The 27715-nt window shown below is 55.8% G+C and overlaps 1 protein-coding gene and 2 non-coding genes across 19 annotated transcripts in view; 2 read left to right on the forward strand and 1 right to left on the reverse strand.

Moving 5' to 3' along the window:
- ASPG (asparaginase) overlaps positions 1-11656 on the forward strand; it is a 29883-nt gene extending 18227 nt beyond the window's left edge. For 3 of the 17 annotated variants that reach the window (XM_017021268.2, XM_017021274.2, XM_017021265.1), the window contains 9 exons: positions 378-560; positions 696-809; positions 1402-1524; positions 2873-2968; positions 3256-3419; positions 4472-4568; positions 4776-4916; positions 5303-5389; positions 6091-7265. In XM_017021268.2, coding sequence (XP_016876757.1) covers positions 378-560; positions 696-809; positions 1402-1524; positions 2873-2968; positions 3256-3419; positions 4472-4568; positions 4776-4916; positions 5303-5389; positions 6091-6261 — 1176 coding nt within the window. In that variant the 3' untranslated portion in view covers positions 6262-7265. Of the gene's footprint in view, positions 1-377; positions 561-695; positions 810-1401; positions 1525-2872; positions 2969-3255; positions 3420-4471; positions 4569-4775; positions 4917-5302; positions 5390-6090; positions 7266-7575; positions 7676-7993; positions 8075-8579 lie in introns of those variants that run through there. The other 14 variants (XM_005267590.5, XM_017021272.2, XM_017021267.2 and 11 more) reach the window with 13 other exon arrangements.
- A 1822-nt stretch (positions 11657-13478) lies between these two features.
- Positions 13479-13588, forward strand: MIR203A (microRNA 203a). Its single transcript, NR_029620.1, has one exon. It is a non-coding gene; the product is annotated as a microRNA 203a (primary transcript).
- MIR203B (microRNA 203b) lies at positions 13492-13577 on the reverse strand. Its single transcript, NR_039859.1, has one exon. It is a non-coding gene; the product is annotated as a microRNA 203b (primary transcript).
- Positions 13589-27715: the final 14127 nt, after the last annotated feature.

Genomic DNA, 27715 nt, shown 5'->3' on the forward strand with positions numbered 1-27715 from the left:
TAGAGGCAGCGTCCTCCCGCAGATTCCAGCTGGCTGGGAGCCGCCCCTGCTGTGCTGGACAAGGGTGTTTGCTCTGGGGCCTCTGATGGCCTTCTTGGCTCCTCTCCCACCTCTCTGAAGTGTTTCCACGGCGTTCTGCCACACAAAGCCTTCGTCCCTACAGACAGGGCGACCCTTTGGGAGAATGTGGGGGGAGCAGCCCCCTCCAGGTGCCAGCAGCCATGCACGTCTGCCAGGAGCCCCACTGTCCCGGGAGCAGAGCAGGCACCAGCTGCCCCTGGCTTGGGGTCCCTCTCCTTGGGAGGGCATGGGGCGAGTCTCAGTGGTGCTGAGGGCAGAGACCCTCACCATCCAGCCCCCACCCCACCGCCCCACAGGTTCGGGCCTTCTTGCAGCCTCCCCTGAAGGGCGTGGTCATGGAGACCTTCGGTTCAGGGAACGGACCCACCAAGCCCGACCTGCTGCAGGAGCTGCGGGTGGCCACCGAGCGCGGCCTGGTCATCGTCAACTGTACCCACTGCCTCCAGGGGGCTGTGACCACAGACTATGCAGCTGGCATGGTAGTGCCGGGAGATCAGGGCCTAGCGGGGAAGGGGACAGCCTGAGGGCCTGGCAGAGGTGGGCTCTGACCCACCCCTCATGGGCTGGGGGCCGTGGTGAGTCGCCCTTCCTGCCCACACGCCCCCTCCTCACAGGCCATGGCGGGAGCCGGCGTCATCTCAGGCTTCGACATGACATCGGAGGCCGCCCTGGCCAAGCTATCGTATGTGCTGGGCCAGCCAGGGCTGAGCCTGGATGTCAGGAAGGAGGTGCGGGCGCTCTCGGGCTGTGGGCAACCCTCGGTGTGCACAAGCATGTCAGTTGGCTCCCAGGGGCATGTCTGGGGCGATGCCGGAAGAGCCTGGGGGCCGGTCCAGGGTGTGTCCTGTTTGGGAAGGGGAGGGATGTGGCTCCCTATAGTGGGGAAGGGCAGCTCTGGGCCCAGGCTCCCCACAGCCCTCACTGGACTCCCAGCCCAGGCTCCGCCTGTCCTTGTGCCTTCTCAGACTGCATGGAGACCTGAGGCTCCCCTAACTGTCGCCAGGAAATCCTCTCCTGCTCTCCACTCTTCCTCGAGGGTGGGGTTCAGACACAGCTGGCCCCAGACCCTTGGGTTGCCAGCCTCTGGGGCTGGACGGAGGCTTTTGGGGCCCCTGGAGACCCTGAGCTGGTAGGGCCAGGGAGTGGGGCTGGCCTTGGGAGGGGACCCAGCCCGCTCTGGCCCGAGGGATGAAGCACACACGGCCGAGGCTCAGGCCAAGGGCAACCCCTGACTGTGCCCGGGTAGCCCGACCCTCCAGGCTGTCCTGGGCTGCCCATCCAGCCCTGGCAGAGCCACTTCACCTCTGTTCTCTCCACCAGCTGCTGACCAAGGACCTTCGGGGGGAGATGACGCCACCCTCGGTGGAAGAGCGCCGGCCCTCACTGCAGGGCAACACGCTGGGCGGTGGGGTCTCCTGGCTCCTCAGTCTGAGCGGCAGCCAGGTAATGGCGTGGGACACGGGCCTGAGTGGCAGCTGGGGACTGTGCACCCTCTTGGTCACCCTGGGATGCACCAGGCAGGCACGAGCCCCTGTAGCCATCACTCGAGCCCAAACAGTTAGGCACACCCGGGTTCTGGGGCCCAGGAGGAGGGTTTGGGGTCTGCAGCAAGGAAGGTTTGCAGGGTCTATAAGGCAGGAGGCAGGAAGGGCCAGGCGGTGGGCACACAGCAGGGAGGCCTTCTGACTGGCGGCGCTGCCTTAGTGCGGGGCTGCCTCGGGAGCTGCCTGTCCAGAAGAAGGGCGGGTGAGTGGGGGCGGTGCTTGCTCTGGGCTCTCCCAGGCTCTGAGCACCAGGGGTTCCAGGTGAGGAACCCGGAGGTGAGGGCCAGCCTTTGAGCACGTCCCCTGCACAACTGAGGTGCCCAGACCTAGGAAGGGGGGCTTTCGAGGCCTGGGGTCTGCAGGGGGATGGGGCCTCCCTGGACCCCGCAACATGCCCCCTTGGCTGCTGGGCCAAACATCCAGGCCTGACATGGGGCCTGGCAGGCCAGACAGCCTTGCTCCCCACTGTGTGGGGTCCTGCCCCGGCCTCAGTGCCTCGGTTTCCCCCTACAGGGATGGACCTGTCTTGTGAGCCATGTGCTGGAACTGCCACTTGCTGGGGCGGGTGATGGGCAGATGGAAAGGACTGGCGTGCATGGCCTGTTATTAGGGTGGCTGCATAGGGCCTGAATGCTGTAGGGAGGCAGGCCAGAGGCAGCAGCCTTGTCACCAGGCCACGTTGTACCCGCTGGGTGTGGTGGCACCTGTGGGGCCTCTGCCAGGACCGCTGGGTGTGGTGGCCCCTGTGGGGCCTCTGCCAGGACCGCGGCCTTTTGGCGTCTTGGGGAGCTCCTGGTGCCCGGTGCTGGGGGCAGGTGGCTCTTCTGGGAAGGTGCAGCCGTGGGAACAGGGCCTTCCTTCCAGGGGAGGGGTCTGGCTCTGCTTCCCACGCTCTCCTTATGTGGGTGACCATTCCGTCCCGACGGCGGTGGGAGCAGACGGGGGAGTCTGGGAGGGTGGGTAGCAGGTACTGGCCACACACCCGTTGGGGACAGGGCTGGATGGTGGTCTCGTGGCCTGGCCTTAGCTCCAGGGGAAGGGGTCCTAGGTGGGCCTGGATGGGGTGGGGTGGTGAGGCTCAACCCCAGGCCTTCCGATGTGGCAGCTCAGGTTCCTTCTCACCCACGCCCTGGGATCTGCGGGCCCTTGTGTGGGGGCTGGCAGGGGTCATACAGCACCGGGGACTGCCAGTTCCACCAGATGCCAAAGGGAGGCGTGGGTCCCAGGGTGCCGCCTTCCCCACCTAGGAGGCAGATGCCCTGCGGAATGCCCTGGTGCCCAGCCTGGCCTGTGCTGCTGCCCACGCCGGTGACGTGGAGGCGCTGCAGGCGCTTGTGGAGCTGGTGAGCCTCCCCCACCCTGGGGGCCCAGCCCCAGCCACGCCTGGCCTGGGGGCTCTGAACCCTGTAGGCAGGACGGCCTTTCATCCACCCACTGACCACACTAAGCCCTTGTCAGCCAGACTGGGCAGCAGGACTGTCCTGCCAGCTTGTCAGGTCTCACTGAGGCTTTGAGGGTGGGCGCAGGGGCTGTGCTGGGCCCTACCCTCAGAGGGACCCCACCCTCCCCATGGCCTACCTGGCCCCGCCTGGGTCTCCCTCAGGGGTCGCATGTCCTTGTGTTACTCCAGGGCAGTGACCTGGGCCTGGTGGACTTTAACGGCCAAACCCCACTGCACGCGGCCGCCCGGGGAGGCCACACAGAGGCAGTCACCATGCTGCTGCAGAGAGGTGTGGACGTGAACACCCGGGACACGGATGGCTTCAGCCCGCTGCTGCTGGCCGTGCGGGGCAGGTAATGGAGCTAGGGCTGCACAGAGCTGCCTTGGACAGGTGGGCGCAGAGAGGCTGTGGGCTCCTGCACTCAAACAGCCTCCCGGGGCTGGGCTGGGAGAGGTGGAGGACACCTGCTTCCTAAAGGCTGCCCCCGCAGCCCGGGGCCCAGTAAGACCCCGGCCCAGAGTTCCTAGAAAACAAAAATGTTGTGGACAAAGCTGGGAGGACACGGTGCATCTCTGTGCACCTGTGGGTATGGGGGGCTGGGGTGGAGGTGGGGCAGAAGGTCCTGGCCCAGCAGCCAGACGCGGTCAATAAAAAGCAGGCTACGTGGCAGCAGATCTGGGGCTGTGACAGGCAACTCGGGCCCTGGAGGACAGGCCCAGCCTGTGCGTGTGGGGGTCCCCTGCCCCACCAAGCAAGCCCTGGCTGGTGTCTCTTCCCAAAGTCCAGAGCAGCAGCAGAGACGGAGTGTGTGCCTGTGCCCCTGCGTGGGGGGCGGGGCCAGCACTGGTGGGATCTGCGTCCCGTCTCCCCTTCCTACTCTTTATTGCCCCAGCCTGGGAAGGCCAACGACCTGTCTGCTGGTGCCGCTGCCCGGACCCATGGGCTGCTCAGAGATCCCAGGGCCCCTGGGGATTCCTCCCTGTGGGTGGGAGGACTTGGCCTGCAGGACCCTGGGTTCTTTTCGGGGAGGGAGTGCTCAGGAGTCCCATGGAGAGAAGGCCGGGGTGTCTGAGCCTGGGGTCATGTGACCCTGACGTGTTCAGTTGTGGGTTCCCCTCCCCAGCGGTGAAGCGGTGAGCCCTGGGGTGGGGTGTGGCACCTTTTGTGAAGTGGGTGACTGGGGTAGAAGGTTCTTTCCAGCCTCCTGTGATCATTGACAGGGTGCTCAAAAGAATAGGAGAGAACAGGGTGGTGGACAGGAGGGGGCGGGGCTGTGAGGGTCCCCCCGAGCAGGGCTGGGGTGATCCGGACTGGAGCTTCTAGACTGGGCGTCCTTGGGTGTGGGTGGGTGGCGCGGAGACGAGCTCACACAGTCCCGCCCCCTCGTCTCCTCCTGACTCACAGGACCAGGCTCACAGCACGCCCCCAACCGGTCTCCCAGCCTCGCTCCGCTGCCAGGCTCCCTGAGGCCGCCTGCCTGGCCCTGCTGTGCCTGAGTGGGGTATGGGGAGGCCACTGCCTCATACCTATTCCCAGGCTCCCTAAATGGGGTGATGGGGGGATCTGTGGTGCTTTGCAGGGGTGGGGGCACGGCCAGCGATTATGGCACAGTCTTTAGGTCACCCTGTACAATGGGCTGTGTGGCCTCCGGCCTCGGGCCTTTGTGCCTCTGCTCCTCCTTGCTAGAGCCCCGACCCCACCCCCACAGACTCCACTGTCCGGGTGCCCTGCCCCCACTCCTACCCAAGGGCAGTCGGCCGGATTGATTCAGTGTCCCCTGCGCCTGGCTGAGGAGGTCACCACGGGGTGTGATCAGCGTTTGGGTGTGCAGTGGGGCCGGTCAGCTCATGTAAGGCTGTCCTCTGAAATGGGCTGTCCCCTTGGAATGGGTTGGGGAGACTGCCCTGGGAGGAGCTATTCTGCTAGCACCAACTAATGCCCTCCCCTGGGTGCTGGGTGCGGGGCTGCCACAGAGTTGACCCCACCCCTTGCAGACCTCAGCTGCCCTAAGAAGGAGTACTGGACAAATGGAGGTGGTGGGATCCCGGGATGATGTCACATGGGCCTAGGCAGAGGATGGGGGGATGGGCCCTTGTCTGAGGCTAGGGCTGTGGGGTCTTGGGCCGGCCGGTCCCCGTCCCTGTGCACAGGACATGAGCTCTGCTGGCTCCTGAGTGAGGTGCAGCGGGGCTGGGCTGGCCAGGGCAGAAGGTCAGCATGCTCATTCTCACACAGGCATCCGGGTGTCATTGGGTTGCTGCGGGAAGCCGGGGCCTCCCTGTCCACCCAGGAGCTGGAGGAAGCAGGGACGGAGCTGTGCAGGTGAGTGCAGCTAGAGCACCTGCTCTTCCAGGGATGTGGGGGACACAGCTTGGGGAAGCGAAGCCAGACCTGCTGGGAGGGACAAGTGAGTCAGGGTGTGGGGGCTTTCAGAGGCGAGGCCCGCTGACCTCAGTGTGCACCAACCTGGCTGATGGGAAGAGGTGTCTACCCTGGACCATGTCATGGGGCAGGGGAAGGAGTTGTTCTCAGCTGAGCGAACAGTCCAGCAAGGGTGTCTCTGTGTGCACATGTGTGCATGTGTGTATGCATGTGTGTGGGTGCATGTGTGTGTGTGTGGTGGGCTTGAGGAGGGGTATGGGAATTGGTTGTCGGGTGTGAGAGGGGCTGGGGTGTGGACTGGGGGGTGGCTGGGGCTGCATTTGGGGAGGTTGGGGCAGGTGGGGCACAGAGGAGCTGAAGCCCCTGGCAGGTGACAGGTCTCGTGAGCTCTGTTCTCCCCAGCGTGGTTCCTGTCCTGGGATAAACTGACCTAGGCCCCGCCTCCACCTGCTGGCCGCATGGCACCAGTGGCCAGTGTGCCTTCCGATCTCATGCTGCCGAGTGACCACCGAGGCAGGCTCAGGCCTTCTGACATCATGTTGTTGTTGGGGAGACTGAGGCGCAGGGAGGCCTTCGGCGAGGGTGTCGGTTGTGGGTGGAGGTGGGCCAGGGATGCAGGGATCCTCCTCTGTCCGCCACAGCCAGAATCGCTGCCCCCCACCCCATGCCTTGTGCCTGGTGACTTGGCGCTGCCTCCTGTGCCCAGCCTGGGCTGCCCGAGGCCAGGACGACTCCGAGGGACCCAAAAAGGAGAGTCGGAGGCAGGAGACCTGGGCCGGGTGCAGGTGGTGGCTGGGGTGGGGGTGCTGTGAGTGGTGGGGTCTGTGCGCCTGTAAGTCCAGAGTCCCAGGCTTGGGGAGTGGGTGATGGCGGGGGCTCGGCTCACTGGCTGGGAGGGGGTGGGTGCAGGCGCCTGCCCAGCAGGAGGAGGACTAGCAGCTCTGGCTTCTCCTCTGGGACCGGCCCACAACCCCTGGTCTTGCTTTTGAAGGGACTTCCGGGGTGACTTGGTCAAGATTTGCACTCCAGACAGGCCTTGCTGGCTCCATTGACAGATGGGGAAACTGAGGCAGTAGTCAGGTCCTGTGGGAGCTGGGACCAGAACCCTGGTCCAGGACTCTGCTTGGAAGTGGCCTGGCCAGCCTGAGCTGCTGGCTGGACTTGAGCCCCTCGGCTAGGCCTTCCTAGGGGCCGGTGTGTGTGTGGGGCTTGGCCTCTTGGAGCAGGTCCAGGAGGGGCCAGTGAGGCCATCCAGCAGATTCGCTGCAGAGATTACCCAGTGCCACTGCAGGGCTGCTGCTGTTTCCTGGGTAGGCGCAGAGTCCCTAAGGGCCCTCCAGAGGAGGGGGCAGCCCCTTCCTCACCAGGCCACTTCCCCCAGCCCCTGCACACCATGGGTGGGTGGAGCCTTCCCTGCCGGGTCCCCACCTGGCCTGCTCCTGGCCTCCCCAGGTGGCGAGTGAGTTCTTCCCAGGAGGGTGGCAGGGTGAGGAGGAGCTGGTGAGGGCCTGGCAGGTGCTCCCCACTCCAGGGCAGGTGGGCCCAGACCCCTGTCCCAGCCAGGACCCCCCCATGCAGTCTGCCGGGGTCCAGGGCCAACCGTTATCCTGGGTTGCCTCCTGTGTCCCCCTCTCTGAACCACTGGGCTGCCTCAAACTTTCCTTCCACCTTTGCGGACCCCGCCCCGGGAAGAGCGGTGTGTTGTGTAACACGAAACTGGCGTGGGCTGCTCGGCAGGTGGGCGTGCATATGTGTGTGCAAAGGCGCATGTGCTCATGTGTGTGTGCACATATGCTCGTGTGTGTGTGCATGTGTAGGTGTGTGCTTGTGTGCTCCTGTGTGTGTACATGTATGCTGCTGTGTATGCTGCTGTGTGTGCATGTGTGTTCATGTATGTTTGCGCATGTGTACCCGACTTGAGTCGCAGTCCCACCCACTGGGTGAAACCAGGCTCCAGGCTGCCCGATGGCCCCCAGTGACTCCTGCCCCAGGACCAGGTCGCTGCTGGGTCAGCTGTTTGGGGCTGGCTTTGTAAGAGCGTCCAGGCCACCTGGGGGACAGGCACGTGGGCAGATGGACAGGTGCCCAGCAGGCCCCAACAACTCCTCCTCTGCCCCCACCCCCAGGCTGGCATACAGGGCCGACCTCGAAGGCCTGCAGGTGTGGTGGCAGGCAGGGGCTGACCTGGGGCAGCCGGGCTATGACGGGCACAGCGCCCTGCACGTCGTGAGTGCCCCCACCCCCTGCACCCTCTCCAAAGGCTGCCACCTCCAGGAAGGACACCTGGACAATTCACCAGCTCACTGCTCTGCCCCTCCCCGCTCTGCCCCTCCCCCAAATGCCTGGCCCTCCCCATGCAGGACCCGCACAGACTGGGTCCCCTTCCCGGGGCTCTGAGTGGTGGGGGTGACGAGAGTGGAGGAGCTGCTGGGGCCCTGTGTGTGTGGGCTGGGGACAGGGGAGGGCATCCTGGGGATGGGGATCCTTGGGCCAGGCTGCTAGTCAGTGGCCCCAAGGCAGCCCCTCCCCACTGCTTCCCCATAGGCAGAGGCAGCCGGGAACCTGGCAGTGGTGGCCTTTCTACAGAGCCTGGAGGGTGCGGTTGGTGCCCAGGCCCCATGCCCAGTAAGTCCCCACCCCAGGCGGGGCTGACACCCCCCAGTGAGCTTCTAGTGCAGGGCTGGATCCTGGCTCGGGGGGGCGTAATCAAGGGGAACAGAACCGGAGGAGGCTGAGATGGGTCCCAGCCAGTTTAGGGTCTGCAGAGCCCCTCCTGGGGATGTCCAGGGTGGAACACAGTTTAGAGGTGAGGAGAAGGAGAAAGGAGCAGTCAGGGAGGGCTTCCTGAAGGAACTGACCAGACTTGAGCACTGAGGGCCCAGCCAGGGCTCAGCATCCCCTTACCCACCCCTGCCCCTGCGCCCTGCCCCACCGGGACCCCCTAGGCTGGGTGCTTCCGCTTGTCTCCCAGGCCAGTTCCCAGCTGACACCCCCATTCCCACTTGGTTGTGTGGCCCTCCCATAGTCTCAAGCTGGGTTTGCTCAGGCTCTTGGGCTGTGCCGTACAGACGGGGTGCCTGGGCTTGTCTCTCTGCCCTGCCTTCGCACTCTACCTGGGTGTCCTTCTCAGGAGCCCTCATGTTTTCAGGAAGTGCTGCCTGGTGTCTAACCTGAAGGCGTCCTGCTGCAGTATAAGCCATTCCTTCCTCCCATGACCTGCTGGAGGGGTCTCAGGCATGACCCCACTGCTGGGGCTGCTTCCCAGCCTGCTCTCATGTAAAGCCTGAAGGCCTTTGTTGGGCAGGACGGCAATAAAGTCTCTGACATCCCCTCACCAGGTCTGTACAGCCTGGCTCTGAGAGGCTCTGTCTGGGTCCGGGACTGTGGATGTGTGTGGGGAGTCAGGCCCAGGCTCTGTGGGGTCTCTGCGGGGGTCACTTGGCCCATCCTTCCGGGGGCAGCTGTGCGTGTGAGCTGGGCAGGGTGGGGTGCATGGACGTGACTTGGCCAAGTGGTCCTTTCCCAGCTGCCACTCCCCCTTCCTGCCACCCTGCCTTTGCCCAGGCTGGTCCCTCCTCCAGACACCCTCTGCCCATCTCCTTACCTCCTGCGCCTTCATTCTGGAGCTTGAAGTCCCCTCCCCCAGGCAGCCCTCCAACCCCTGGATGAGCATGCTGCCCCTGCTTAACTCTTTAGTCCTCACAGTCCCGTCCCAGTTGCTGTCTGGTTTTCTGTCACCCCAGTATCGCTGCACCCGGCCCCCCTCTCAGGCCAGGGCCACACCAGGGCTCCATAGGGCTGCGGAAGCCTGTGAGTGTCAAGGGGGCTTCACACTCTGGTGGTGAGCCCCTGGGGACCATTCCAGCCCCTGCTCTGCCTGAAGCTCCTGATGCAGCCTCCACCGTGAGCCAGGCCACCCTGTAAGGGAAGAGGTGAGCTGTGCCTGCCTGGTTGCACAGCCTGGGCAGGTGGGCGGGTGGGGCGGGCCCTGCTGCTGCCCGGTGGGGGTGGTGCTCCAAGGCCAAGGGCAGCCTCGTGCCTTCTTTCAGCTGGGGCTGAAATCGGGGGTGTGGACCCCTGGCCCCCATCATGTGTGCATGCACTGGCCTGGGATGGCCAGGGACTCCCTGCTGCTGCCCCCAGCCCCTGACCCCTTCTTGCTGGGTGTGAGGAGCATGGGGGCTGCCTCCCTCCAGGCCTCTCTACCTGCCCAGGTGACGGTTCCTTTTGTCCCTCTGTTTGGCTGGCCTCTGGACTGGAGCCCCAGGAGGGCAAAAGCATGACCCCAGAGCTGGCCCTTGGCACCTGGGCATACCCCAGGCTCCTCAGCCTGGTTCCCAAGCCTGGCTGGTACTGCCGCTGGCATCCTTGCTGTCCTCACCCCGACACAGGTGTGCCTGGGCCTTGCACAACAAGGTGACGCCATGCGAGCGTGGCAGGGCCGGGGAAGCCTTTGCTCCTCACCCTGGTGAGGCCCATGAGGGGCTGCAGGTGGAGGGAGGGTGGCACCGGGCCCCAGAGCCAGGAGCCCCTGCTGTCCCCGGATGGCCGAGACCCTTGGAGGGCCTTGGGAGAGGCGGTGGGGCATCTGGACAAATGCCTGGTGCAGGTGAGAAGGGGTGGGACTACCTCCGGCATCCCTGGGCTGAGCCCACCTGGTCTCCCCGGTTGCTCCTGCACACGGCAGTGCCCACCTGCTTCCCTCAGCTCCTGAGGGGCTGGGCAGAGCCTGTTGCTCACGCCACCCCACTCAGTGCTGCTCCGGGTTGTGAAAGCTGCAGGTGGCTCACGTTAGCCCACATGGCAGCACCCTCCCAGAGCAGGTGCCAACCTGCCAGTGTAGACACACCGACTGATGCCGGGGGTGAGTGTCCTGTAGTGTAGAAACGCCCACTCATCCTGCTTGTCCCGCAGAGAGCATTTGTCAAGCTGGCCTTTCTCCAACTGGGTCACTGATGGAGTTCGGCAGAGACGGCTTGGGGGCCACGGGCTGGGCAGATGGGGAGAGCTCCTCACAAGGCTGGGCAGCCAGACCCCCATTGTCAGTCCCCTCCAAACCCTCGTGGGATGTAGGGCCCTACCACAGGGAGCCCCGGGACTGGGCCAGTGTCTCAGGAGGCTGTGAAGAGTCATAGGCTTGAGTCTGGGAGCTTTCTCGGGGGCCGTTTTGTGCCCCTTGGGGAGAGGCCAGAGGGGCCCTGGGTAAGGGGACTCCTCTAGAATCACCCAGAAGTGGCAGGAGGTGCAGGGCCACTGCTCGGGGCTCCCTGGGCTCTGAGCTGGGCAGTGACCTGGCCCCAAGGCCTCTGGCTCTCTGGCGTGCAGTGGGAACAGCCGGGACAGACAGGCTTGGAGCGTTCGTGTCCTGCGCCGCGTTGGTGTGTTTCGTCCCCACTGTGCCTGTAGGAGGGCACCGGGTCCCCGTCTATCCTACTTCATGGCTGAGGAAGCTAAGGCACAGAGTGGCCCCGTCCTGCGCCCAGGGCTCTGCGTTGGCACAGGGCAGAGCTGGGCTGTGAATCAGGGCCGCCTTGTCTCTTGCTGTGGTGTGAGGCTGTGGGAGACTCAGGAATGAGGCACAGCCAGGTGCCCAGTGCCCGTGGGACCCGCCTCCCCACAGTGGGGTGGCGCCGCTCACACCTGGTAATTTCACGCTGGGGGAGGCCTTGGTTCCTATAGCCCATCTCGAATCACCTGGATCCCAGGGCTATCTCTGGGGAACATCTCCTCTCCATCACGACTACTGTCTTTTTCACCAGCATTTTCTATCCTAAAATCAGACTCCTCAGCTGAGGGCCCTCCAGGACCGCCCTTCCCCAGCTGGAGGTAACCAGATTTCTCGTGTATGCTAGGAAGTTCCCCTTCTGGTCACACCTCAATATTTCCTGCTGCTGGTGGGAACTGCAGGTGCTTGTACTTGTCACCTTCTCCCCGTCCTCTCTCGTCAGTTCCCTTGGATGCTGGACACGGGAGCCACCTGGGCGAGGGGAGCCCATCCAAGTGGCTGTGCGTCGGGAAGAGTCTGCCCAGGACTGGGCTAGACCAGAACTTAGAATTAAGGAGTGGTGGCCAGGCTTGGTGGCTCACACCTGCAATCCCAGCACTTTGGGAGGCCGAGGCGGGTGGATAGCTTGAGCCTAGGAGTTTGAGAACAGCCAACATGGCGAAACTCTGTCTCTTAAAAAATAAATAAAAACATTAGCCAGGTGTGGTGGTTTGTGTCTGTGGTCCCAGCTACTTGGGAGGCTGAGGTGGGAGAATCGCTTGAACTGGGAAGATGGAGGTTGCAGCGAGCCAAGATCGCACCACTGCACTCCAGCCTGGGCAACACAGCAAGACTAGGTCTCAAAAAAAAAGAAAAAAAAAAAGAAAAGAAGAGAGGTGGGTTCTTCTTGCCCATGCAGTTGTGTTGGGGGAGGAGCTCCCAAGCTCCTGTTCTTGATCTCAAGCTCCCCTATGCCCACTTCCATCCCCACCCCCATGCCGCAGCCCCTCGGACTCCACACCCAGGCACTGAGACCCACAGATGCAGCGATGGCAAGGCCTGTCATCCCTTCTCTACCACCAAGAGCTGTGCAATCCCCAGAAGTCACTGTCCCTCCCTGAGCCTCAGTTTCCCCAACTGCAAAATGAAAATAACAAAACCTTTCTGATTCCCTTTCCAGGGTGGCTGCGGTGGTTGAGCCACACGCGGCCCATGTGGAAATGTCTGGGGGGTCCCTCAGATCTGGTGGCTGTGTTCTGGTCTGGGGCTCACCTTGGCTCCTGAGCACTTGGCTCCTGGCTGGCTGGGCGGGTGGTGGGATGGCGTGTCACCGCCCTGCACTGGAATGAATGGTCACCACCCTGCTGCCCAACCCCATACAGACACACTAATGGCTCCAGACTTGGGGCAAGTGCTGAAGGGGGCTCTAGGGTATTTCCTAGAGCCTGAGCCCTCCCCTCAGCTGCCATGTTCTGCTGAAGCAGAGTCCCTGGGAGGCGCCACTGGTCAGGCCTGGACACCTCCAGGTGACTAAGTGGGTAGGACCGGCAGGGCCAGCTGCGCCAGGACGTTCGGGGCTGGGCTGTGAGTGGGGGGAGCGAGGCTCAGGCCCTTGCTGCGTGAGGGGGTAGGGCGTCCCTCCCCCCGCGTGGGAAATGAGGAGGCAGGTACGGGGCTACCCCTGTGGGCTGCGGGGTGGGGGTTCAGGGTCTGAGAAGCAGAAACCTCCCTCCCTCCAGTTTCACTTTCTCTTTACCCCTCCCCTTCCCCCTCCCACGAAGTTCCCTTTGAAGTGAGAGGGGCTGGGGTGGGTGTGTCCAGCCCAGCCCCCACACCCACCGGAGAGCTAGCGCGGCCCTGGGCTCCTGTCGGGCGCTGGTCCTCACCTGTTCCGGCCACCCTGGGCCTCGACCCGGCCAAGGTGGAGCCCCGGGCCCTCCGTGCGCCCGAGCACCCCCGGCCCAGACGAGACGGTTCGGGCGTGGCCCGGCGGGGACCCAGAACCCGGGAGGCCAGGTGCGCCCAGGCCAGGCGCTGGAGGCTGGGGCGCCGGATGGGGCGGGGCGGCCGCTGAGTCAGGGCCACCCCCGCGCGGGCGCGCGGAGCAGGTCCCCGGGCCGTGGAGGATCAGTCGCGGGACCTATGGGCCCGGGAGCCGCCCCGCCCGGAAAAACCGGTCGGGCCAGCGCGGCGCGGGCACATTCCGGCGCCGGGAAGGGCGGCTGCGCCGCATAAAAGGCGCCGCCGCGCTGGCCACCGCCGCTCGGAGCTCAGCCGCCCTGCCACGCGGGGCCCGCGGGACGAGGGGACGCCGGGGCCAGCGAGGACGCGGCGGGGCTGGGCTTGGCGGCTGGGATCCCCCAGCGCCAGGCGAGGGCGTCTAAGGCGTCCGGTACGGCGTCGGGGCCGGGTGGCTGCAGCAGGGCAGGGGGTGCGCGACCAGCGGGGATCTGGGCGCAGGGGCCGGTCCCCGGGATCCGCAGGCGACGCGGGCGGTCCCAAGGGCGTCGGGGGCTCCTCTCTCCGCAGCTCGGCGAACCGACGGTGTTGGGGACTCGCGCGCTGGGTCCAGTGGTTCTTAACAGTTCAACAGTTCTGTAGCGCAATTGTGAAATGTTTAGGACCACTAGACCCGGCGGGCGCGGCGACAGCGACGGAGCGTCCCACGCGCGGCCTGGAGTCAGAGTCACAGTCAGGGGTGCGCCGGCGACCAATCCAGGGGAGCCCACGGACCGGCTCCGCGCTCCAGGTCGGCCGCCCCATGCGCCGCGCCCCGCAGTCCCCAGGGCCTGGCTGGCTCCACCTGCTGCCAGGGAAGACCCTCGGCCGGAGAGCCAAGTGCTGCTGGGAGGTGGCCGGGCGTGGCCGGGCTGTGCTGTGGGAACCGCTGGGTGGGGGCGCGCTGGGTTGCCCACGCTCCTGGCGCGCTGCCGGCCTGGAGACGCCGCCGCCGCCCTCTTGCACCCCGAGGGCCCGCACCTCGAAACTCCGTGGAATTCCCAGCGAGGAACTGGCGGTGGGCCCGTAGGGTTGAGGAGCGCTCCTTGCCCTGGGCTTCCTGGGAGCTGCCCATCAGGCTGCCGGCAGCCGCACCCTGCTGGGCGGCCGATGGTTCCCGCTGCCGGCTCCCCGGAGCGTCTCCACTCACTGAGGCCTTAGGGAGCGCTGCGCGGCTCCTACGAGTGCGCGCTAAACTCGTGAAGGACCTCGAGGCACAGGAACTGGGGGTGGGGAGGAAGTTTGCAGACTACACCCAGGTAGAGGAGAAGCGGCGCCCATGATGACAGGTGCCTTCGCCGGAGCCTCCCTGGAACCTCGTGGTAGCTAGCGCCCACAGGAGAGGTGTGCGCGTCAATCTGCGTGTGAAGCCCCGGGCGGCCCTGGGAGGGACTCAGCAAAGGGTCGAATCTGTCCCCACCTCCAGCCAGGGGCCGGGGTCTTCTGCCTGGTGCTGCCTGGCCTGCTGTGTCCTCTGGGGTGGAGGGTCCCCCTCCAGTCCCCACCTCCTCACCCAGTGTTTAGAGAGCTGCGGGGAGTCCTGGGAGATGGGTCAGACAGGCCTGGGTTTGAGGCCTGCTAGGGTGGCCTTGGGCCAGTCACCTGCCCTCTCTGAGCCCGACCTGCACACATAGGGGGTTGATGTGAGGAGACAGGAGGTGACTGTGGAGGGCTGTTCCAGAAGAGGGCCAGCAGCAGGACAGCAAGGTCCCCTGGCCACCCAGGTGGGGGGAGTGGAGTTCCCGGGAGAGCATCCACCACTGGCCAGTGCCTCCTCTGTTGCTCAGCAAATGCCATTGTGGCCACCTCTCAGGATCTGGCTTCAGAGCTTGGGGCCGTGGGAGCGCCCAGTGGGTCTGTGGCATCGGAGGGGTTGGAGTGTCTTCCCCAGCTGCTGCCTGCTGACCACCGCAGCCCCCTGTAGCCATTTCATTTTACAAGCACGTTCCCCCGTGCCCTCTGCATGGGCCCTCAGCCCTCAGCAGCCCCGTGAGAGGGGCTGAGGCTCAGGTGGGAGATGGCGGCTGTGTCCCTGTTCTGCGGCTTGGAGGCATTCTGTCCGGTGTGCGTCTGTACAATTTAGACTGATGACAATAAACATGTTCCAAAGCATCGCTGTGTCCCTGGGGTGCTTGTCCTTTTCCCCCAGGCCTCAGCGTGGTTTCTCCCTTGAAAGCAAGCCAGCCTTTTCCTTCTAATCTCAGAGAAGCAGAAATGAGGATGGTTGGTGGAGGGGCAGTGGCCTGGTCCTTACCCAAGACCCTCCCTCAACTCTGCCTCTGGCACTTTGGTCTCCAGGGAAGCCCCCAGCCTCTGCCACCAGCTTTCTCGTTGCAGTGACCTCCCCTGGGCCACTGGGCCAGACCCCCTCCCTCGGGTTTGAGCTGCACTGCCTCAAGGAGCCAGGCTGGGGAAAGGGCTTGGCTCCCAGGGGCCCCACTTTCAGGGGCTCCAGCCTGCTCCCACTCCCCCCACTCACCACAACACTGCTCCCTTGGCTGGCTCCCACTCATTCCCGCTGGAGCCTGTAGGCTGGCCCTGGGGACCTGGCCAGGAGAATGGGCAAGGTGGGAGGGTTGAGGGATTGAAGAGACAGAGGCACCTTCCTCCACCCTCCCTGCCTCTGGCACAGGGGACCGAGAGTCTGTCGTGCATTCAAACCCCAGCTCTATGCCTACAAGCAAGTGACCTTGGCAAGTCCCTTATCCCCTCGGAGGACCTGTTTCTTCCTTCTGTAGGATGACGTGGAGCTCGCTGGAGGTTCCCCTGACATGATGCAGCACACTTCCTGAGTGCTCAGCAGGGCAGAGCTCAAGCTGTCACTGGAGCTGATGTGGTGGGAGGGCCAGTGGGGGATCCTTGAAGAGGCCGAATTTCAGCCAGGGCCTCGGAGGACCAATGGAAGGCCTCAGGTGGCAATGAGGTGTGGTCTTACAACAGGCCCCTACTTGGTCCCTGGGGACACCAGGAGGACAGGCCCCTACTTTGCTGAGACTAGACCTGTGCTTCCTGGCACCCCAGCCCCTCCACTCCGGCCTCTCCAGCCTCTGCCCCTGACCCAGGTGGAGGATGGCTCCTCGGGGTCCATTCCTTCAGCCATGGAATTCCTGAAGGGAAGCTGGGCACGTGGGGCTCCTGGGCTGCTGGTGGAGACACATGCCACCTCTACACAGGGGAGTGTGAACAGAGGCAGATGCAACTTCTGGGTGGAACTGGGGCACTGTGGTGCTGAGACGTGCCGACTGTGCTGCTGGAGGGCCACGCCGGGGCAGGGCAAAGCATCCCTGCATGAGGCCGACCCACCTGTCCAGGTGTGCCTGCGTGTTTCCTGATTTGGCACCGAAACGTTCTTGGAATCTTCTGAGTCTGGGGCAAACTGGGACTGCTGATCACCCTACGTGGGACCAGCTCATGTACACGCTGCCCTACCCACTTGGACAGCTGAACAGCTTGTCTTTTCCACAAGAGAAAGGAACCTTCTGCCTTTTAAAGCCAGTGTTATTTTGGTCTCTGTTAAAGTAGCTAAACCAGTATGTGAAGGCAGGGGTTCTGACTCACTGCAGAGGCCCAGGCTCAGTGAGTAGGATGGGTGGCAGGGATCTGGGTCTTCACCAAGTTCCCAGGCGAGCCTGATAAATGCCCAAGGCTGACAGCAGCTGTCTTAGGCGAGAGACCTCAGGAAGAGAGACAGGCTGGGGGAAGGGGAGACAGGTCCTGAATCTGCAGCTATGGGTGGTGCCTGGCCTCTACTCCCTGGGAGCAGGAGCCTAGAGTAGAATTTGCATCTTAGCCTCTCTGTCCTTCCCCAGAGGAGTCCATAGCGCCCGCTGAACAGGTAACCTGCCAGGCCAGGGTCTGGGGGTGCCCACTCGAGGCTCATGGAATCTAATTGTATATGCAGGTCTCAGGCCATTTGTGCTGCTGTAACAAAACCTCTGAGATGGATAATTTATAAGGAACCACGAGAAATTTATTTCTTCGGATCTGGAGGCTGGAAGTCTAAGATCAAGGTGCTGGCAGGTTCAATAGCTTGTGAGGTCTCAGTCTCTGCTTCCAAGTTGGTGCCTTGCGTGGGTGCTCTGGAGGGGAGGGACACCATGTCCTCACACGACAGAAGGGATGAACAGCAGAAAGGATGGGAAGGGCAAACTCGCCCCCTCATGCCCTTTTATAAGGCACAAATCCTACCCATGAGGGTGGAGCACTCATGGCCTCCTCAGCTGCTGAAGGCATCAGCTCTTCATCCTGTTGCACTGGGGATGAAGTTTCAACATGAATTTTGGAGGGTCACAAGCACTCAAGCCATGGCAACATATTTGCAGTTGAGAATCATCAGAGGGAGGACAGATGATGGCTCCTTCCTGGGTGACTAGATAAGCCCCATGGGACAGCACATCTGTCACAGGGCTGTGGGGTCACTGTGACTGGCTTTCTGAGTATCTTTCCGTGGTTCTGAGGCTGCCCGGGGAGCAAAGTTGTGCTGGGAGGGCACACATACAAGCTGAGTTGCCTTGAGCCCGCCAGTCTTTGTCGGGGGTGTCACTATTTTTCTTGGGTTTATTGAAATGCCACTGACCTACAGTAAAGTGCACAGGTTTACAGTGTACAATTTGATGACTCTTGACATATATATGCACATCTGTGAAACCATGACCACAGTCAAGATGATAAACCGTTGACCAAACACAGCTACCTGCAGGGTTCATCCAGCCCTTGGTGATCCCTCTTTACTTCCCCAACTCCTCCCACCCCTGGAGTTTTCTTTGTTGGAAAGAACTCCAAATTCAACTTATTTCCTAGATATAGGAACATTCAGCATATCTATTTCTTCTTGAGTGAGTTTTAGTGATTGTTTCTTTTACAGGATTTATTTAATCTAATGTTGAATTTATTGGTATAAAGTTATGCATACTATTCCATTATTATCTTTGAATATCTGTAGACTGTGGTGATGAACCATTTCTCATTCTTAATATTAATTATGTGTTTTCTCTTTTTTTCTTGATCCATCTGGATAGAGGTTTATAATTTTTATCAATTTTGGGAAAGAACCAGCTTTTGGTTTTATTGATTTTCTCTATTGTTTTTCTGTTTTCTATCTCAATGATTTCCACTCTGATCTTTATTATTTCCTTTCTTCTCCTGACTTTGACTTTTATTTGCTCCCTTTTTCTAGTTTCTTTTTTAAATGTTTTATTTATTTGACATATAAAATTGTATATATTTATCATGTACAACATGTTGTTTTGATATACATATAATTATGGAATGCCTAAATCAAGCTAATCAATATATGCATTACTTTACCTACTTATCTTTTTTTGTGGTGAGAACACTTTCTTAGCAATTTTCAAAAGTACAATACATTGTTATTAACTATAGTTACCATGTTATACAATAGATCTCTAGAACCTATTCCTCCTAACTGAAATTTTGAATCATTTGACCAACACCTCCTCAACTTCTTTTTCTTAAGGTAGAAGCTGAGGTCACTGATGACCTTTCATCTTTTCTAATGTAGTCATTTTATTGCTATAATTTCCGTCTAAGCACTGCTTTAGCTCCATTATACAAATGTAGATGTAGTGTGCTTTCAGGTTCATTCACTTTAAGATACTTGCTAATTCCCGTTTTGAATTTTTCTTTGACATTTGGATTATTTAGAATTCCCTTCCCTTACCTTCTCTTCCCTCCCCTCCCCTCCCTCCTTCTTTCTTTCTCTTTCTTTCTTTCTTTCTTTCTTTCTTTCTTTCTTTCTTTCTTTCTTTCTTTCTTTCTCTCTCTCCCTCTCTCTCTTTCTTTCTTTCCTTCTTTCTTTCTTTCCTTCCTTCTTTCTTTCTTCTTTTCTTTCTTTTTCTTTTCTTTTCTTTCTTTTTTTGACGAGTCTGAGTCTGTTTCCCACATTGGAGTGCAGTGGCACGATCTCCACTCACCACAACTTCTACCTGCCAGGCTCAAGCAATCCTTCCACCTCAGCCCCTGAAGTAGCTGGGACTACAGGTGTGTGCCACCATGCCTGGCTAATTTTTGTAGTTTTTGTAGACATGGGGTTTTGTCATGTTACCCAGGCTGGTCTCAAACTCCTGGGCTCAGGTGATACACCAGCCTTGGCCTCCCAAAGTGCTGGGATTATAGGCATGAGCTGCCACACCTGGCCTGGGAGTGTATAATTTTTAGTTTCAAAATATTTGGGAATTTTCATAGTCTGTTTCTGATATTGATTTCTAATTTAATTCCATCATAGTCAGAAACCATACTCTGTATTACTTGAGTCCTATTAAGTTTATTGGACTTGTTTTATGGCCCATAATATGTTTTATTTTGGTAAATGTACTGAAAAATAATGTGTATTTTGCTGTCATTGGGGGCACTGTTCTACAAATGTCAACTAGGTTAAGTTGGTTGATAGTGTTGTTCAAGCCCACTGTATCCTTACAATTTTGTGTCTAGCTGTTTTATCAATTACTGAGAGAGGACTGTTAAAGTCTCCAACTATAACTATGGATTTGCCATTTCTCCTTTCAGTTCTATTCATTTTTGCTTCATGTGTTTCTGGACCTCTGTTATATGGTGAATAAACATTGATAATTCTTATGTCCTCTTCTTGAAATAAGCCTTTTACCATTATGAAATTGCTTTCTTTTTTTTTTTTTTTTTTTTTTCTGAGGCAGAGTCTCTCTCTGTTGCCCAGGCTGGAGTGCAGTGGCACGATCTCAGCTCACTGCAACCTCTGCCTCCCGGGTTCATGCCATTTTCCGGCCTCAGCCTCCCGAGTAGCTGGGACTATAGGTGCCCGCCACCACGCCCAGCTAATTTTTTTGTATTTTTAGTAGAGATGGGGTTTCACCATGTTAGCCAGGATGGTCTTGATCTCCTGACCTCATGATCTGCCTGCCTCAGCCTCCCAAAGTGCTGGGATTACAGGCATGAGCCACTGTGCCTGGCCTGAAATTGCTTTCTTTATCCTTGATTATATTCTTTGCTCTGAAATTTCTTTTCTTTTACTACATTAAAGTTGTTCCAGTGTCTTCTGGCTTGCATTATTTCTGATGAGAACAATGCTGTCATTCTTATCTTTGTTCATTTGCATTTAATATGCCTTTTTGTTATTAACATAGGCATTCCAGCTTTCTTTCGATTAGTGTTAATGTGTTTCTTTTTGTATCCTTTTACATTTAACCTATTTCTCTTTTTACATTTAAGCATTTTTTTTGTAGGTAGCACATAGTTGGATCTTATTTTTTTATTTGGTCAGACAATCTCTGTCTTTTAATTGAGATATTTAGACCATTTACATTTACTGTGATTATTTACACATTTGAATTTTGATCTGTCATCTTGCTCTTTGTTTTCTTTCTGTCCTATTCATTTTTTTGTTCTCCATTTATTTATTTTTTTGCCTTCTTTTGGATTGATGGACTATTTTATGATTCAAATTTATACTCTTTGTTGTCTTATTAGCTACAACTCTTTGATATGTTTTTTCATTGTTTGCTTTAGGACTTACATATACATCTTTAACTTATCATATTCCATTTTAAAATAATATTAATTTATGTACAGTGTAAAAAATTATGTATAGTATTAGAATCTTGCAGCCTTATAGATACATAACAGTACACTTCCATTTCTCCCTCCCAGGCTTTGTGCTATTGTTATTCTTCATTTTATTTCTATATATGTTCTAAGCCCTACAATATAGTGAATTTTTTCTTTAGTCAGTTATCTCTTAAAGAGATGTAAAAATGAGAGAAAAAAGATTTTATTTTATTTTATTTAGTTTTTGAGATGAAGTCTCACAATTTCAGGCAGGCTGGAGTACAGCGGTGTGATCTTGGCTCACCGAAACCTCCACCTCCCGGGTTCAAGCGATTCTCCTGCCTCAGCTTCCTAAGTAGCTAAGACTACAGTTGCGCACAACCATGCCCAGCTAATTCTTGTATTTTTAGTAGTGATGGGGTTTTGCTATGTTGGCCAGGCTGGTCTTGAACTCCTGACCTCAGGTGATCCACCCGCCTCGGCCTCCCAAAGTGCTGAGATTACAGGTGTGAGCCCCACGCCTGGACAAAATATTTTATTTTTGCCAGCATGTTTACCATTTCTGGCGCTCCTTTGTGTTGATCCAGATTTCCATTTGGTATAATTTGCTTTATGCCTGTAAGACTTCTTTAACATTTCTGGTAGTGCAGGTCTGCTGTTGATAAATTATTCACCTTTTCAACGTCTGAAAAAGTCTTAATTTTGCCTGTGGTTTTGAAACATATTTTCATTGGCCATGGAATTCTAGATCAAAAGTGTCTTTTTCTTTCACTGCATTAAACTTGTTCCAGTGTCTTCTGGCTTGCATTATTTCTGATGAGAACAATGCTGTCATTCTTATCTTTGTTCGTTGCATTCAATATGCCTCTCCTCTACCACGTAGTTAAGATTTTATCACTTGTTTTCAGAAATCTCATTATGTGCCTTGATGTTTTCTTCATGTTTCTTGTGCTTGAGGTTCATTGAGATTCTTGGATGTGTGAGTTTACGGTTTTCACCAAATTCTGAAAGTTTTCAGCCATTATTTCTTTAAATATTGTGCACAAACCCCTATTCCTTTTCTGGCATTTTCATTACATATATATCAGGCCACTTAAAGTTGTCCCAAAGATCACTGTAGCTCTGTTCATTTTTAAAAATAGTTTTTTTGGGTTTTCTTGTTTCATTTTGAATAGTTCCTATTGCTATCCAAATAACTACTTCTTCTGCAGTGTCTAATTTGCTATTAATTCTATCCAGTGTAATTTTCATCCTGGACATTATATTCTCCATCTGTGGAAGTTTAATTAGGTCTGTTTTATAACTTCTCAATGTTTCCATATCCTCTTGAACATATTAAAATATAGTTATAAAAACAGATTTAATGTTCTTGTCTATTAATTACATCATCTGCTTCATTTTTGGGTTCTACAGATAGGTTTTTTTCTTCTCATCATGTATTTTTCTGTTTCTTTGCATGCCTGGTAATTTTTGTTGGTTGTCAAACATTGTGAATTTTACATTGTTGGGTGCTGGATAATTTCATTTCCTATAAATATTTGTGAGCTTTGTTCGGGGACATGGTTAAATTACTTGCAAATGGCTTGATCCTTTTGAGGCTTGCTTTTAGCTCTGTTAAGTGGGACCAGTTCAGCCTTTATTATGGGACTAATTTTTCCCCAACAATGAGGCAACCTTTCTGAGTAGTCTACCTCATGTCTTCTAAATGATAAGATTTTTCCTTCTGGTTGGTGGGAACAGAAACTATTCACACCATGGGTTAATTTTTTTTTTAATTTAAAAAATTTTGATGAAATACATAATGTAAAATTTACCATTTTATCCATTTTTAAGTGTACAGTTCATGGCATTAAGTACACTCACATGGTTGTGCAACCACCTGCTACCAGCTAGCTCTGTAACTTTTCATCTTCCCAAACTGCAACTCTCTACCTCGCAAACAATAACTCCTCATTTCCCCTTCCCCAGCCCCTGGCGACCATCATTCTCCTTTCTGTCTCTATGAATTTGATGACTCTAGGGACCTCATCTAAATGGAATCCTGTGGTATGCATCCTTTTGTGACTGGCTTATTTCACTTAGCATAGCAACTTCAAGGTTCATCCGTGTTGTGCTGTGTCAGAATTTTCTTCCTTTTTAAGGCTGAGTAATATTCCATTGTATGGCTATACCACATTTTGTTTATTCATCTACTGGCAGACACTTGGGTTGCTTCCATCTGTTGGCTGCTGTGAATAATGCTGCTATGAACATAGGTACACAAACATCTGCTTTAGCTCCCAGAATGGTGTGGAATGTGGGCAGCTTTCCCTCAGCTCCTTTTAGGTGGTTTTATCCAAAGCCATGGGTAATTTATGGATCCTCATGAGTTGATCCATACTCAGCTGAAGATTCAAGGGGCACTCTCTGCAGATCTCCAGAGCTAAGCTTTTGTGCAAACTCTATTCTGCATTCTCTAGCCACCTTGGTCCTACCAGACTCAACTGTGTCTCCTCTGTTTAGGGGCACCTGTGGGCCCCTCCTGGGTCCTCCCTTCTCATGCTGAGGCCTGTCCTCTCTCCAGGCTGGGGCGGTCAGGGCTCGCCTTTGTTTTCCTGCTCTCAGGGATCACTCTCCTGTCCTGCCTGATAGACAATGTCTATAAACTGGTGTTTCATATGCTTTTTCCAATGTTTAAGTTATTTCTGGTGGGAGTGTAAATCTGGTCTCTGTTACTTTATCTTGGCTCAGAGTGAAAGTCCTTACCCATCTCCTTATTACCCCAAGAACACTGGCTCATACTCCTACCTGTGGACTGTTGACATTTTTTTTAACCACATTCCTTTTCCTGAGACATTTGTGGTTGTCTCCAGCGCCTGCCAATGTTGTTGCAGGTACGCCCTGGTGGCCTCTGCCACACCCTCTGTTAGGCCTTCATTTGGAACCAGAGCTCTGCCAGACTCCTCACACCACCTGCTGCATTCTCCTGGGGGCTCAGACGTACCAACTGGCTCAGGGATGGGACGTGTGCTCACCCATCATAAGCAAGTTGTATATATATGTACCATTTCATATACTCACACAGCTTCCCTGAAGGCTTGGGGTCAGCAGAAGTACCATGCAGGAGAGGTATCTTTAGAAGTGTCCGCTTGATGATGTCTGAGTAATACAGCCAACTCAGACCCTTTTTTTTTTCTTCTTGAGACGGCATCTCACTCTGTCGCCCAGGCTGGAGTGCAGTGGCACCATCTCGGCTCACTGCAAGCTCCGCCTCCTGGGTTCACGCCATTCTCCTGCCTCAGCCTCCCGAGTAGCTGGGACTACAGGCGCTCGCCACCACGCCTGGCTATTTTTTTGTATTTTTAGTAGAGACGGGGTTTCACCGTGTTAGCCAGGATGGTCTTGATCTCCCGACCTCGTGATCCGCCTGCCTCGGCCTCCCAAAGTGCTGGGATTACAGGCGTGAGCCACTGCGCCTGGCCCAACTCAGTCCCTTCTGAGGGAACTCTCCAGGTATTTCTCTCCCCCACCTCACTCCCTGCCAGCCTTCCTTTAGTTCCAGTTAAAATTTTGCCCAAATCATCCTCCTGACTGAATAGTTTATTGGAAAGACATGCCAATACACAGGTTAAGCAACGCTCCATAGCTAAGGTAGCACAGAGGAGGACATTTTGCAGTCTGGCTTATTTAGTCTTTACATTTATTAATTTTTTTTTTTGAGATGGAGTCTCACTCTGTCACCCAGGCTGGAGTGCAGTGGCACGATCTCAGCTCACTGCAACCTCTGCCTCCCAGGTTCAAGCGATTCTCCTGGTTCAGCCTCTCGAGTAGCTGGGATTACAAGTGGGCGCCACCACTCCCAGCTAGTTTTTGTATTTTTAGTAGAGACAGCGTTTCACTGTGTTGGCCAGGCTGGTCTTGAACTCCTGACCTCAGGTGATCCACCTGCCTCGGCCTCCCAAAGTGTTATTTAGACTTTATTAATACTCCTTCTTGCCTCCTAGTAGACACATGTAAGGATTTAATTTTCCTTTGAGAACCACTTTGGTCTCAGACCACACATGGTGATATGTGGTATTCACTGACTCGCTTTCTTTACAATTTCCATTGAGACCTCTTCTAGGAATTACTCAGAAGTATATATCTACATATTTAAATTAAACAAATAATTACTTTAAAATGAAATTTAAACAGTATATAATTTAAGAAGTCAAATGCTCGTCAATGTTGGAAGAAAAACAGAAGCCTCCTGCCCCACCTATTCCTACCCCAAGTTCCACTTCTTGGCAGTGACCTCTTTTAGCTGCTTCTCCTATTTACTTCTGTATTCCAAATAACCCACTTTTCCTGCAATTTTTACTTTTCAGTTTTATGTCCTTTCTAGGGATCTACTATGGAAGCTGAAGATTTTATATCACTCTGACCATTTTCTCTGTCCACGCTACTCCTATCCTTCTTATAGCTTGGTCACAATGTTTGATTAAATCAGCATTCAGAGTTCACATTAGGATTGTGAGCTATGTAAAGATCATTCACAGCTGAGCGTTTCAGCATCTGTGATCACAGTTCTTTTCCGATATAGCTTTAAACTTAAACATGGTTTTATTTTAAAATTGGCGTAATTATTTTTTGTATTATGAATAATTCCCATGCTCTTTGATTTTTTTTTTTTTTTTGAGATGGGATCTTGCTCTGTTACCCAGGCTAGAGTATAGTGATGTGATTTTTAGCTCACTGCAAGCTCAAACTCCTGGGCTTAAGCAATCCTCTGGCCTCAGCCTCCTGAGCAGCTGAGACTACAGGCCCACATTACCATGCCTGACTAATTTTAGTCCCTTCCCTTCCCTTCCCTTCCCTTCCCTTCCCCTCCCTTCCCCTCCCTTCCCTTCCCCTCCCCTGCCCTCCCCTTCCCTTCCTTCTTTCTTTCTGTAGAGTCAAGGTGTTACTATGTTGCCCAGGGTGGTCTTGAACTCCTGGCCACAAGTGACCCTTCTGCCTCATTCTCCCAAAGTACTGAGATTACAGGCATAAGCCACTATGCCCAGCCCCATGCTCTTTGATAGAAGTTTAAATTTCTTCTAAATGTGTTAAAATACATGAAGTAATCTAATTCCTTCCTTTTTTTCCTTCTCTCTACCTGTAGAGAGTGCTTAATGCTTGCTCCAATATGAACCCGTTGGGACTGCCGTTCAGTGGACATCCTTGATCTCCATTCACCACTTTCTTGGGTTAGCTCCCATCTCCTTGATTCCACATCCTCTTTTTCCTTGGTTTAGTTTCTTGCTGTGGGGGAGCCCATTATCCAAGAACTTAAAGAAAGAGAAAAATCAAAGGCAAACCTTTTTGTCTTTACTTTTATGCTAAGCTGATATTAATAGTTTAGCTGGGTATAGAATTCTAGACAGGGAATCATTTTCCCTCAGTTTTGGACACTGAAATCCATCATCTTCTAGTTTTCATTGTTTCCATTGAGAAGTCAGATGTCAGTTGGCTTCCTGATCCATCCTCCTCCTCTCACCCCCAGAAGCTTTTAGTATCTTCTGTTTTTTCCTGGTGTTATTTTGAAATTTCAAGATGTTGGCCTTTTCTTCCCCGCTTTCTTGTGCTGGCCATTGAAGATTTCTAGCTCTTGGTTCTGGGCAAATGTTTTGGCATTATTCCTTCACTCATATTTTTTCTATCCTTCTCAGGAACTCCTGTGATTCAGATGCTGAATTTCCTAACTCTGTAATTCAAAAAATGCTCCCATCTTATTTTCCAACTCTTTTTTCTTTACTTTCTGGGAGGTTTCCTTAATTTTATCTTTCACCCTCTTTCTTGAATTTTATTTGTTATTATATTTTTATTTTCCAAGTGCTTTTTAAAGTGTCCTCTGAATTGCATCTGCACTTAAGTTCATGGAAGTCAATATTTTCTTTCTCTGAGGAAATTCCACGGTCATGCTCAGGACTAGTTGTGGAGATGCCATATCCTGTTAGGCCCTGGGTGGCAGCTCCTGAAGTGTGTGGTGTCTTTGGTGTGGTTAATGGTGTTGCCTGGACCCCAGGGTCTGAGGGAGTGGCACTCTCAGCATTCCCATCTTCACTGATTCAGCACCTCACTCTGTGTGGTGCATCAATGCTCTACACTCTCGTGTAAGCCATATTCACACACACACACACACACACACACACACACACACACACACACACAGCCTCTACTCATGAGGCTGCCTTCATGCCCAGCCCTGGTCCCTGGGGATCCGGAGCTGAGGGAGGCTGGGGGTTTTGTATGAGGTTCACCCCCAGGCTCTTCAGGAAGCAGCGGGGCCACTTCTGGCATGGTGGCGGGGCTGTCTAGGCAATGCACCTGTGCTAAGGGGTTTCTCAAAGTTTTGCAGATTGCACCTTCAGCCAAAGTGCCTGGGGACTCGGTAAGACTCCTGACCCAGGTGTTCTTCTTCCCCGGTCACTGCCTATCCTCAAGCTGGAGGCTGAGCCCAGCCTACAAGGAGTAGAGGGAGAAGAGGCAGGAACAGGAGGGGAGAAGGAAGTCAGGGGTATGGGGTTAGATGCGCCAAGGCCTGTTAGGTGGAGTGGGGGCACTGGTGAGGCCACAGGGCTGGCCTCATGGGCCTTGAAGGTGAGCCCTGGGCTCCATGCCCTGGTGCACCCTTCACTGTCTCTGGGCCTCAGTTTTCCTATCTGCATAAAAGGGGAACTGGACCAAGAGAGTGCTTTAATCGTCCTCTGGCCACAAACTGTGGCCAAAGTGTGCCATCTGCTGGCCACAAGTGACAGTGTCCCCATTCGAGATGTGGCTGAGGGAGGTAGAGACTCTGGAGTCCTGCCAGGGCTTGGGTATTGTGGGCATGGAGGGAGGTTCAGGCAGCCAGATCCCGTGTTGGAGGGGAGAGGGGAGCCAAGCACGGCGGGAAAAGATCCAGGCTGCGGGCCTTGCAGGCTGGGCTTGGGGCCAGGGCTCTCCACCCTGGTGGGGAGGGCACTGGCTGGAAGGTTTGGAGGCCACTTGGTGCTACACACGTCCTCCCAGGAAACAGAGAAGGTGCAGGTAGGTCAGGAATGCTTCCACCTGGGCCCAGGAAGAGTCCTCAGGCTGGGGCAGCTGGGCGCCGCACACTGGCTTGCAGGTCCCATGAGGTCAACCTGGCTGACTTAGGGCTGGGCTGTGGGAACCCGGGCAAGGCATCCTGAGGGTGGGGTCTGGCACTGCAGCCTCGAGGTGCAGTGTGGTGGGGGGTGAGAGGAGCCAGGGTGGGGCCAGTG

Source organism: Homo sapiens, chromosome 14 (genome assembly GCF_000001405.40).
Source record: "Homo sapiens chromosome 14, GRCh38.p14 Primary Assembly".
Lineage (NCBI taxonomy): Eukaryota > Metazoa > Chordata > Mammalia > Primates > Hominidae > Homo > Homo sapiens.